This window comes from Homo sapiens, chromosome 12 (assembly GCF_000001405.40).
Source record: "Homo sapiens chromosome 12, GRCh38.p14 Primary Assembly".
Classification (NCBI taxonomy): Eukaryota; Metazoa; Chordata; class Mammalia; order Primates; family Hominidae; genus Homo; species Homo sapiens.
In genome coordinates, this window is record NC_000012.12 from 15,495,485 (window position 1) to 15,508,398 (window position 12,914).

General features: G+C 36.6%; 1 protein-coding gene across 5 annotated transcripts in view; it reads left to right on the plus strand.

Moving 5' to 3' along the window:
* The window catches only part of PTPRO (protein tyrosine phosphatase receptor type O), a 275,824-nt gene that overhangs the window by 172,977 nt on the left and 89,933 nt on the right, over nucleotides 1–12,914 (plus strand). For all 5 annotated transcript variants that reach the window (XR_931316.4, XR_007063106.1, NM_030667.3 and 2 more), the window contains exons 3-6: nucleotides 1,761–1,919; nucleotides 3,958–4,110; nucleotides 6,136–6,579; nucleotides 8,424–8,585. Coding sequence is in view for 3 of the 5 variants with exons in the window: in NM_030667.3 (NP_109592.1) it covers nucleotides 1,761–1,919; nucleotides 3,958–4,110; nucleotides 6,136–6,579; nucleotides 8,424–8,585 (918 nt within the window). In the remaining 2 variants the exon portion in view is untranslated. The remainder of the gene's footprint in view (nucleotides 1–1,760; nucleotides 1,920–3,957; nucleotides 4,111–6,135; nucleotides 6,580–8,423; nucleotides 8,586–12,914) is intronic.

The following is a 12,914-nucleotide window of genomic DNA, read 5'->3' on the forward strand; positions in this document are numbered from 1 at the left end:
AGGACATTTCTTTAGGTCAGCCTATAGATGATGTCCAAGAATTCTCTCAATTCTAAAAGTGTGAATCAAAAATTTTTTTTTCTGTCAACCTAAAATCGTCAAAAGGGTCAGAATCTCATTTAAAGAGAGTTTTATCAAGCACAAAGTGTGAGGCTGGACCACCTGGAAACACCAACTCCAAAAGAATTCAGTCAGTGCTCTGAAGTAGTGAAATTGGGATCTCATTTCTATAGGCAGAAACAGAGAAGATTTTATCAGGATTACAAAAAAATTATTCATATAAGGATGGCACCTGGTTACAGAAATTTCATTGATTATAAGCAGTGTTTCTTTTGGGGAAGGGTACATTTAACATTTTTTTACACAGAGTGTAATAGTTATTTATAGGTTTTCTGTCATCCAGCCTAAGCAAAGCAGGACAAGAAAGGGGGGAAGTTAATCTACAACATGGGTCATTAATTAAGAAGGCAGGAGATTTTTGTCCCTGACATCATTTAATTCCCTCTAGTCACTGCACAGAACAAGAAAAATGAAGTGAGTTAATCTGTAATTTGAGAACAGAAGTTATAACTATATGTGACTCAGATCACAGTTACGTCTTTTGGGGTTCCAACAGCTTTTAAATTTTACTTATGTTCATTTTTCTTTTCTTTTTTTGTTTTTTTTTTTTTTTTTTTTTTGAGATTTCACTCTTGTTGCCCAGGCTGGGGTGCAATGGCGGGATCTCTGCTCTTGGCAACCTCTGCCTCCCAGGTTCAAGTGATTCTCCTGCCTCAGCCTCCCCAGCAGCTGGGATTACAGGCGTGTGTCACCACACCTGGCTAATTTTCTATTTTTAGTAGAGACAGGGTTTCTCCATGTTGGTCAGGCTGGTCTCAAACTCCCGACCTCAGGTGATCCACCCGCCTTGACCTTCCACAATGCTGGAATTACAGGTGACCCCAAACCAAATTATTTAACATATCTTCTTAATAAAATTCATACAGGTAAAATCTGTTTAATAGCTTCTTTAGAAAGGTGCAAAATGCATTATTTACAAGAATTTTGCAGGAGAGTGGGAGGGGGAGGAGAGGCAGGCATATATCGATCATGGATTTTAAAAAATGAGTATTTTTAAAGTTTTCCAGTGAATGAACTACTCAAGCAAAATAGAAATGTTTTCTTTAAATTTCTACAGAAAGAGTGGTTTGATAAACACCACAAAACATATGTTTTACAACATTGGACAGTTTAAAATTTTATACTTCATATGGAAAAATAAGTGCTATGTTCACAGGAAGAAATAAATGATCATATAACTATCATTGGTCTGAGCCAAAATTTATTTTCTGTTACTGGTCTGTTACTGATATCAAATTTCCTTTGCATGAGAAAAAGAAAAATAAACTAGGAATCTGGAGATACAGACTGTCATGTACTTGTTAAATTACCTTGGACAAGTAATTTAGTCTGTGAGTCATCATTATATTTATAGGTGGGATGGAGATATTTTATTTGCTCTTCCTAGATCTCAGGACTGTTGCAAAAGGAAAAATAAATGTAAAAGTTCTTCAAAAAGCAGAAAGCACCATATAAAATGTACTTTATTAATTACTGCTAAGAACATTCAATTCATGGTTACTGAGGAGTTTAGTGCCCACAGACAGTGAAAATTATGCGTGAATTTCTGGTAGGTGTAATCCTTGCTTAATTCAAGTATTGATATCGGCCTTTCTCTCTCCTCTTTCTTTTCCCTTTCTCCATTTACTTCACTTCTGTAGAACCTCTACCTGTAACCAGTGTTTCCATATATGACTATAAACCTTCTCCTGAAACAGGAGTCCTGTTTGAAATACATTATCCAGAAAAATATAACGTTTTCACAAGAGTGAACATTAGCTACTGGGAAGGTAAAGACTTCCGGACAATGCTATATAAAGGTAAGCAGCAAAAGGAAAGCTGAATCAATGATGACCCTCACTTTTTACAAAGCTTTTCCCAAATGATGTTCTCTCTTACTGCAAAGAGGTTTTATAATTCACTATTTGACCTATAAATGAGCCATTAAAAATAATTATTGATTTATGAAAATCGTGTTATGAGGAAGCCTAGAACATCTGGTTCATTACTTGAGAGTCGTGTGTCATGTGTTCAGCATGAGAAATACTCTCATTATTGTCACTTACATGTTACTCTTCCCTAAGGCAGCATGCCTGGTGCAGGAAATAAATTCAGACTTAAGTTTAGAAGCACAAGTAACCGTTTCTTTCTGGGTATGATAGATGGGCATTTCTGGGACTGGGAAGTCAGAGTGGTGCCTTTTGCAAAGTTTCACTTGGAGATGATCCAACATCCTCAAATGCAATGCTGTATGACCAGCTAAATGCATACATTAACATACAAAAATTAGTTTCGCTTTTTCACTGGCTTGATGGGAACCTTGAGGGGAAGGGAGAGAAAAGAGCCCAGGAGAAGTAATATTTCAAATTACTCAAAGGAACAAAATCAACTTCTCTGGGTGGAAGGGGCTAGAGGGAGAGGGAAGAGAGGGCATTCAGTTTCATTTGGGAGTGAATCCTAGTGAAGGAACTTGAATACGCTCAGGGCACATCGGGTGGGGGTGGGAGGTAGGTAATGATATCAGAGTTGGCTGACTGTAACTGGAAACATGTATTGGTGGAAAGAGAAAGTATTGAAGCACACAGAGCATGACATCCAGGAAAATGTCATTTTCACTTGCTGCTTTTACACACTCATTTCTTCAATGGATTTAGTTTTTCTGAGACACTATTTAAAATATATGCAGTGGGGCTGGGAGTGGTGGCTCACGCCTGTAATCCCAGCACTTTGGGAGGCCGAGGTGGGCAGATCACTTGCGTTCAGGAGTTTGAGACCAGCCTGGCTAACATGGTGAAACACCGTCTCTACTAAAACATACAAAAAATCTAGCCGGGCGTGGTGGCGGGCGCCTGTAGTCCCAGATACTCAGGAGGCTGAGGCAGGAGAATCCCTTGAACCCAGGAGGCAGAGGTTGCAGTGAGCCTAAATCACATGACTGCACTCCAGCCTGGGCAACAGAGCAAGGCCCCATCTCAAAATGAATGAATGAATGAATGAATGAAATATATGCAGTGAATTTGGTTTTTTTAAACTTTGAAAAAATCAAAGAAACACAAATTCCACAAAGTATTATGTTCTTTATTTACAATGAAAACATAATCTGCAAATTAATAAATGGAAAGTTATTTGTTTATAGATCACATGCAAATATATTTATGAATGATTAAAAAGCAATTACTGAAACTTTTGTTAACAATCATAAATTTTAAAATAATTAATATAATCCCATTCTTAAGTCAATTACTTTTTCAAACTATTTTTAGATTTCAATTCAATAAGTGGTACTTTTAGTTTTGTTCTCTCATTTCTTTTGAGTTGGATTGGATTTTTAGTTTATTGTTATTCTCTTTAAAGTTTTCTAAGTGGAATCCAAACTTTTATTATTTCTTTTTTTGGGCAGGTTCTGTCTGCAAACTGGCAAATAAACCAGTTTTAAATTAGGCTAGTTTTTCTAAATGAAAACTTTTCTTGGAAAATTGCTCTTTTTTTAGGTCATAAGGTGGCAAAATACCTTGGATTTTTATCTTAAAGTAAATGGCCAGTGTAAACTTAACCTCTACAATTTCTTTATATTATCTCCTTCAATTAATACATACCCCAAAAGTTCCTATCACAAAAAGGTTAACTCCAATTGTGTTTGATCTGCTTAGGAATTTTGTCAGAAAAAGCCCTTCAGGATTGAGTCTAGACATTCAACGTTTCATCTCTAGCCTTCTACTAACTCTTTATTACTGCCCATAACAGTAGTTGAAGGAAATATTATTTTGTGAATGTTTAGCCATAATTGTTTCAAACTTTCCAGAAGTGTGTGATGTTTAGAAGACCATATTTTTCATGTAATTGATTTTCTCTTCACAGATTTCTTTAAGGGAAAAACAGTATTTAATCACTGGCTGCCAGGAATGTGTTATAGTAATATCACCTTTCAGCTGGTATCTGAGGCAACTTTTAATAAAAGTACCCTTGTTGAGTACAGTGGTGTCAGTCACGAACCCAAACAGCACAGAACTGGTAAGTCTCCTGAAGAATCAAATACAGTGAAAAAATAATTCAGTTATATTTTGCTGTACATTTATTTTTTATCCTAAGAAATATTCTGATCCAGAGCAAAGAAAGAAAATATATATGTTTAATAACCTAAAACAGATTTTCTATCAATATAAAAAGAACTGGGCAAAATATTCAATAAGAAAAATCTAAAATATGTCAATGTAATCATAGATTTCTAATCTTTGAATAAAAAGCTACTATACTATTACCAAAGGTTATAATTAACTGACTTACCCAGATCTAGTAGACATCAGTTATTGCTGACAAGTGACCCTATGGCAGAAAACAGAGTGAAGACATTCTAGTACAGATTATCAGATTATTAAAGGAAAATATTGAAATTCAAATGTATCTAAAACTTGCGGTGCTTGATTTTAGTAGCACCACTAATATGAAGCACTATTGTAGGATGGATGGATAGTTGCATGGATGGATGGATAGATGGATGGGTGGATGGATGGATGGATGGATGGATGGATGGATGGATGGAATAATGAATGGATAAAATAAGCATATATCTACTAAGTACCCATCACCAATATAAGCAAAATCGTATGTGCCTAGTATGCCTGAATACTCAATAGGAATGCTGGAGAGGCCATTCTGATGAGCATCAGGAAGGGATTATGATAGATTACTTCTAAGGTCTTGACAATTTGAAATTCTAAGATGTCATGATTCTTATTCATTAGTCTAAGACCAGGAAACTATTTCAGCTAAATCACTAATTCACCTAATGTCAACAGTTAAGATTCTATTTATGTTTTTCATTATTCAATGTAAGTAGAAAAACATTAATTGAGCACCTTCTACCTGGAAGTTGTTCTCAGTACTGAGACATGAAGACAAAGACTGATGAGACAGGATCCTTGTGCTCAAAAATTGGTACTCATAATACACGAATGGCACTAACACAAGGCAGAATGAGATAAATATTATAACAGAGGTACAAAGTTATTTAACAACACAAAGGAAGGAGAGATAAATTTTTATTAGAAGCTCATGGGGCCTAGCACGGTGGCTCATGCCTGTAATCCCAGCACTTTGGGAGGCCGAGGCAGGTGGATCACCTGAGGTCAGGAGTTTGAGACCAGCCTAGCCAACGTGGTGAAACCCCATCTCTACTAAGAATACAAATATTAGCTGGGCATGGTGGCTGGTGCCTGTAATCCCAGCTACTCGGGAGACTGAGGCAGGAGAACTGCTTGAACCCAGGAGGCGGAGGTTGCAGTGAGCCGAGACCACGTCATTGCACTCTAGCCTGGGCAACAGAGAGAGATACTGTCTCAAAATAAAAATTAACAAAAAAGTTCATGGAAGAGGTGATAATGGAACTGCTATTTGAAGAACAAGTAGAAACTGTTACAGGCAGAGACTACGCAGTGCGTCTTCATAATTTTCTCCCTGTAAGTAAAGTGTGCTTCCATAATTTGTAAACTCATTTTGAGTTTATATGTTTCATTTTAGGGAGGTGAGGAGTGAAGCTATATTTCTAACATGTGTGTTAACATCTCTAAAGGCAACACATGTATGCAACTCTTGTAGGTGCAACTATGTCACATGGAGTATTTTCATCTTCATAGCTATAAGTACACTATACTTGTTTTGTTTTGGTTTTTTTGTAATAAAAATCCAGGAACAGAGATACATTTTTTTGTAAGTGGAATTACGATAAACTGAAAAATATTTATATACTCTGCTTTTAGAAGTGGTTGAATTACCACTTCAACAAGCATAATATTGTAAGTTAATATATTTGAAGTGTGACTAGTGGTATGTTGATAGGTATACATCATCCACAAAATGTTAGAAGTATGTATATGGAAAAAAACACAGCTTATCTTGATGTAAATTTGTCTGTGTATCAGAAGTAAAATTAAATTCCACTTTTAAAAATCTGCTTGTGTACCTGACTCATTAAGAGATTAAGTATTCACTCTAATTGAATTAAAAAATACTTGAAAATGAAAATTCTCTCTCTTACAGCCCCTTATCCACCTCAAAATATTTCCGTTCGTATCGTAAACTTGAACAAAAACAACTGGGAAGAACAGAGTGGCAATTTCCCAGAAGAATCCTTCATGAGATCACAAGATACAATAGGAAAAGAAAAACTCTTCCATTTTACAGAAGAAACCCCTGAAATTCCCTCGGGCAACATTTCTTCCGGTTGGCCTGATTTTAATAGCAGTGACTATGAAACTACGTCTCAGCCATATTGGTGGGACAGTGCATCTGCAGCTCCTGAAAGTGAAGATGAATTTGTCAGCGTACTTCCCATGGAATACGAAAATAACAGTACACTCAGTGAGACAGAGAAGTCAACATCAGGCTCTTTCTCCTTTTTCCCTGTGCAAATGATATTGACCTGGTTACCACCCAAACCACCCACTGCTTTTGATGGGTTCCATATCCATATTGAACGAGAAGGTAAAGCAGTAGGAAATCAGAGGAAATAAGAACTGATACAAAGGAAGGGGAATTGAAATGTTTTTAAATTTGAGTTTAGAAAGACTGATCATAGACAGTTATTAGTCAAAGAATAATGGTAATGAAAGGGGAGAATTTAATTGAGTATCCAATGCAGACTGAGAGCAGAAAACCCAAATGAATAGACTGGATAAGAATCAGAAGGTTTGGGTGATTCACAAGTTGTAAGTACTGCCAACTGTATACATTTGACTGCCCACTATTTCTCATGTCTCAGAACAATGAGGAAAACATCATATTTGGAAATATTTTGAATTAAAGATCTAACTATCCCAGAATGTTACAACATAACCTAGAGAAATTTTCTGTTTTCTCATATGCAAATTTTTAAACATGGCAGCAAAGTAATACTTATGAAAACATTACTACTTCCTCAAGAATATGAGGCATGTGTCCTGCTAACCAGCCGCTCTTGTTCCCTTTAGGGTGCGCCCCTCTAGAAAAAGCACCACAGTTTTCCAAAGAGAAGCTGATAGTAAAATGGAAAATACACAGCTGCTGACATTTCCATATAGCTACTATATTATATTTTGCATTGACTAACTCAGCATCTGAGGTTCATTCTTTATATTTTAGCCACTAACTTAGGAAAGTAGAGCCATGACTTTCAACAAGTTTGGGTCATGATACCTATCTCAATTGTTGTTTGGTAGATTTTTATGGTTATTTGTTGTTTGTTTAGTTTTTACAGTAATATACTTCATTTTCCATTTTCTGATCTAGTAGTTTGAGTGGCAGAGGTTATAATTTGTAAAAATTTGAAGTTACAGTGATAGCCTTATTTTTAGGGTGAGAGTTTAAGGCCCATGTAGTCTCATATACTGACATATTGTTTACTCCTATTTTACTTAATAGCATGAGATACAAAATCTGTGGATTCTTCTATACAAGATGATACAGCATTCAACCATACCCAAATATTACATAAAATGAAAATTCTTAATTATTTGAGTCAAAAGTCATTTTCCTGGAATTTCCTATTTTTTTTAAAGTTTCCTTAATCTATCATTTATTTTTCTGTTCCTAAATATGTTCCTACGGCAAATAGGATCTTGTCATTACAAAAATTTTTTACTGCCTCTTCTCATGAAGGTTCTATTATGCATTTATCTGACTCAGTGTCTTCTTTTGAAGGCTGTTGTAGTCACCAACTGATGATAATGACTTCAAATGAAGTAATAAGCAGCAGAGGATGGATGGACTGTGAAGCAATGTGAAATAATTCTTTCTTTAAGAAGATCTGAAAGCAAATGGATAAAGGAAAAATATTACCATGATTATTATTTTTTTAATTTTACTTTAAGTTCAGGGGTACATCAGAAAATATACCTTAAAAATTAGATGTATTTTAAATAAATGTTAAAGCACTTCTGGATGGTTAATACTACCACAAAGAACTTACAAGATATTTGATCCTGGTTATTTTTTAGCCCTTACCTCGTGATGAGAAAGCCAACAATTGTTAACTTTTCCTGATTATCTACTTCTATTTTGTACACATAATTTTGTTGGGTAGGAGTACATAAAGATACACAGTGTAGACCCATCCCTAGTTTTATTGATTTGAATGCCGTATTTGAGTTTTGTTATTTGGAAGACTGTAAAAATACTGAACTCTTATTTATTATTCTTTAATGGTACCTTTAGTTTAGAGGTGTAATTGAACTTGACAAAAGGAGGGAACATTTAAAACACCTAATTTTTTTTCATTAATCGACTTGTCTATACCCAGGGCCTTTCCAGGTGTCTATTCATGTATCTTCTCTTTTTTATATATGATTTAGAGAACTTTACTGAATATTTGATGGTGGATGAAGAAGCACATGAATTTGTTGCAGAACTGAAGGAACCTGGGAAATATAAGTTATCTGTGACAACCTTTAGTTCCTCAGGATCTTGTGAAACTCGAAAAAGTCAGTCAGCAAAATCACTCAGCTTTTATATCAGTAAGTAACAAAGAGATCATTTTACACTTACTGGGGAGCTAGAACAATGGAACTGGTGGGATTAATGATGCTCAGATGTCAATTATTCACAAACCTTAGGGATGATGAGAAGTCTTCAAGATCAGGAGAGGCTGAGATCCACAAGCTTTGGATAGCAGAGGAAATGAATGCTTGTTTAATAGTAGCAATCCTATCCAGGGGTTTAACTTGAGGATTTTTTTTTTACTATTGTGATAATTGAACATTTATTAAACTGACCTTTCACATTAGCCATAACAAAGCCTCCAAGGATGTGGACATACAGTTTGGGAAATACGACATTTGTTTGAGCCCATAACGAAATGATATTATAGGACTGTGAAAAATCTCATTAGAGTATTGAGCTTGTGAGGCTCAAAAGAAAGACAAAGATTCAAGTGTGGGTACACCCCGATGGTCTCAATAAAACTGGTGGGAAAAGTCATAGCTAGAGCAACCTGAAAGTCCCAGTGTCAAGTCCTAGGGTGGCCTCTACCATTCCATAAGGGTAACAGGACAGCAAAAGCTAGCCTCTGAAGGTTGCACAAACAGTGCCTGCCTCTATAACGTGTTTAGCTAAACTGACTATGTTTACTGGAAGTATAGAGGTCAAAAATCAGTAACCTACCCTATCAGGAGTTATATGTGCCTCCGATCAGTAGAAAGAAAAACCAGAAGGCAAAGAATAAAAATTGCTTTCAGAAAAGGATAACCACCACATATCCTATTGCCATCTGGAAAGGCAAATACCACCTTTCGTTGAAGGACGGATGAGAGCAGAAGAGGAGCTCAGCTTATGTAGCAGCTTAAAAATGTTGAAAATATCCCATATAATATTTTTACTTAAAAGAAAAACCAAAAATGTCACCTCTGGCAAAAGAAAGGCCTTAAAGATTTATCAGATGCGTAGAAAGGGTATTCCCAACTGCCTTGTGTGTCTTTCAAGTGTGAGAGACCTTGGACATGTGATTACTTAAGAAAGAGGACAAAGTCGAGTATTTCATTCTTCCCATAAGACTAAAAATGCCTCACTTACCAAATAGTTTCTTTCTGCACCAGTACAGATCCACCGCACATGTGAACAGCCTCCACGAAAACTCCACAACAATTCTGGTCTTTCTGACTTTTCTCTTCTCTGAATTCCTATTCTGTCTCATAGTAGACAGCACAAAACACATAACTTATTAGTGTGTGGTATTTTTCTAGATTTATTTTATGTACATCTTGCTTCTCATGTCAAGTTGTAAAATCCCAGGCTGGAGTTATACTGTTTGCATATTTATTCATTCTTTTGTACATTCAAGAAATATTTATGGAACCACTTATATCTTTCATGCACTCTGCTCTATTCTTAGAGTATCTAAAGCGACTAGTGCCATTGAGAATATGTCGGAATTGCTCAAAAATGCAATTACTTTAAAGAGATGCATCTTAATATTTATCTAGAAAAATATAGGCTCCTAGAAGTTTTGTTTTTTCTCTGTTGCTAAAAGAATGACTTTTTAAGGAGATTCTGTTCTGTGGTAATGAGCTATTCAGATGTACCATGTATACTTCTTTGGTTTAAAAAATGGATACCGCAGACATAAATACTTACACCTAACTGGGTAAATGAGCAAAAATTAGGGTGGCTTACGTTTGCTCAGCATAATGTAGTCACACACCAGCAAAAGTATATTTGCAGCCTGTTTTTCCTGACCAAACTGTTTCACATATTCTGGTGTTGAGCTGTTACATTACAATTTATTATATGTTTATGTCGTTGCATTATAATTTACATTTATGTAGCTTTGAATGCCTTCCCAGAGATGAGAATTCAGGTAGGAATTTGCACTAGACTGCCAATAGCCTTATGAAGAAAACACTTTTATTACCCCCATTTTTCACATTAAAATACATACTGAATCGCAGAAATTTCAGTGACTTCCCCAAGTGTCAAAATTAAGATTATAACTCAGGAATATTTGATAACAAAACCCATTTTCATTTAGCCTGCCATGACCCATGTCCTTGGGTTGATTATCAAGTCAGTCATAAGGTAAAACTATTAAATAATTGAATTTGTTTTGCTTACTCCAACCTCCACCCTCTGTGCCCCCACTACACTAGTACTCTTCAGAACAGTAGTAACACTTCACGTTTATGTAGTTCTCTAACACATATTATCTCATTTGATCCCAACAACAACCTTATGAGGTAAATTAATCAGATTTTCAAAAGCAATGACTCAAGAGACAGGAGGTCTGGGTTAGGTCACAAGCACTTACTAGCTCTATGACTTCAGGCAGCTTGTTTATATCTCTGGGCCTCAGTTTCCTCATCAGCAAATGTGTTAGTCCATATTTACACTACTATAAAGAACTACTTGAGACTGAGTAATTTACAAAGGAAAGAGGTTTAATCGACTCACAGTTCTGCATGGCCAGGGAGGTCTCAGGAAACTTACAATCATGGCAGAAGACGAAGGGGAAGCAAGCACCTTATTCAGAGGGTGGCAGGACAGAGAGAGAGAGCAGGGGAAACTGCCACTTTTAAACCATTAGATCTCATGAGAACTCGCTCATTGTCTTGAGAACAGCATAGGGGAAACCACCTCCATGATCCAATTACCTCCCATCAGGTCCCTCCCTCGACAAGTGGGGATTACAATTCGAGATGATATTTGAGTGGGGACACAGAGCCAAACCATATCAGCAAAATAAAGCAGTGGGTCTCTAAAGTTCTCTTCAATTCTAAAATTCCATGATTTATCCATTTCACAGATGCAATGACTGAGATTCAGAGAGGTTAACTCATTTGTCCAAAGTTGCACCACTAATAATGACCAAACTGAGTCTTAGTGCAATTATCGTATCTCCAAATTTTTACTATTTCATAGTGCTCCAGGAAGTCTCATGCAGGGTTGAGAGCATGGATTTTGGAATCAGACTTCCTGTGTGTGAATCCTAGCTCTACTTACTCTATCTCTACCTCAGTTTTCACATCTGAAAAGTGAGATTTAATAAAAGTACTTATTTCATTGGCTTGTTATAAAAGTTAAAGGGGCCAGGCACGGTGGCTCACACCTATAACCCCAGCACTTAGGGAGGCCAAGGCGGGCGGATCACCTGAGGTCAGGAGTTCAAGACTAGCCTGGCCAACATGGTGAAATCTTCTCTCTACTAAAAGTACGAATATTAGCCAGGCATAGTGGTGGGCACCTGTAATCCCAGCTACTCGGGAGGCTGAGGCAGGAGAATCGCTTGAACTCAGGAGGTGGAGGTTGCAGTGAGCCTAGATAAGGCTGCACTCCAGCCTGGGTGACAGAGTGAGACTCCATCTCAAAATAAATAAATAAATAAATAAATAAATAAATAAATAAATAAGGAATGAAATACGTAACACATAAAAACTTAAAGAAGGTTATATGCTAAAAAACAGTTTACATGCTGAAAAGCAGTTTATATGTGAGCATCCGTGTTTTAAGCTCAACCACTACTGTGATGTCCTAGACATCTTCCCAAGAGAACTACGGTAGCATCCTTGTGTCTGTGGTGTCACTGACCTGCCAGGAACAAACCTATAAATATGTAATGGGTTCCATATCTCTTTACTATAATTACTATCATTTTGTATTATCATTTCCCTTGCACCATTTACACCAAACCTTAGTCTGTCCTCCCCAGTAGAGCGACTTGCTCCTTTTCCTCTCCTGGATCTCAGCTTAGGAATACAGCATCAAATTAAGGAGCTGAGAATGCATCCTAAGCAAATAAATGGAAGTTTCACATTTGCATTTCAGCAGGGAATTTCTGTAGATAATAATCACCTTAACATGTCTTGAGTCCTTACTAGGTGTCAGGCACTGTGTTAAGAACCACTTTAGGAACATAAGAGAACAAAGCTAAGGATGGGCACTTCTGTGGAGACATTTTATGGTAAGGATCCTGTTGTGTTCCTCAAATTATCACCCAGGTTTTAGCCAGCTTCTTTAATTGAGCCAGCCTGTTGTGTGTTTCTTCTCTAATATAATCACAGCCTGCCTTTTCGTTCTCACTGTTGCCAAATTCAAATGTTTGCACAGGGTAGTAGTCGAGGCTGATTTGAATCTCAAAGTAATTATTCCTAGAGATCAAAGATCCTAGTAGCAAAGGAATAATAAGCCCTGATGAAATGCCACATTGCCACGCTCACTCTTTGTTAAAAGAGAAGTAAGTTTTCTCAGGTGAAGAATTTACCAGAATACTCTCACATGCACACGATGATTGAAGTGGCACTTTTGTTTCTGCTGTTATTGCCGAGGCTGCTGTTTAGATCAAGGTGAGGTCAAGG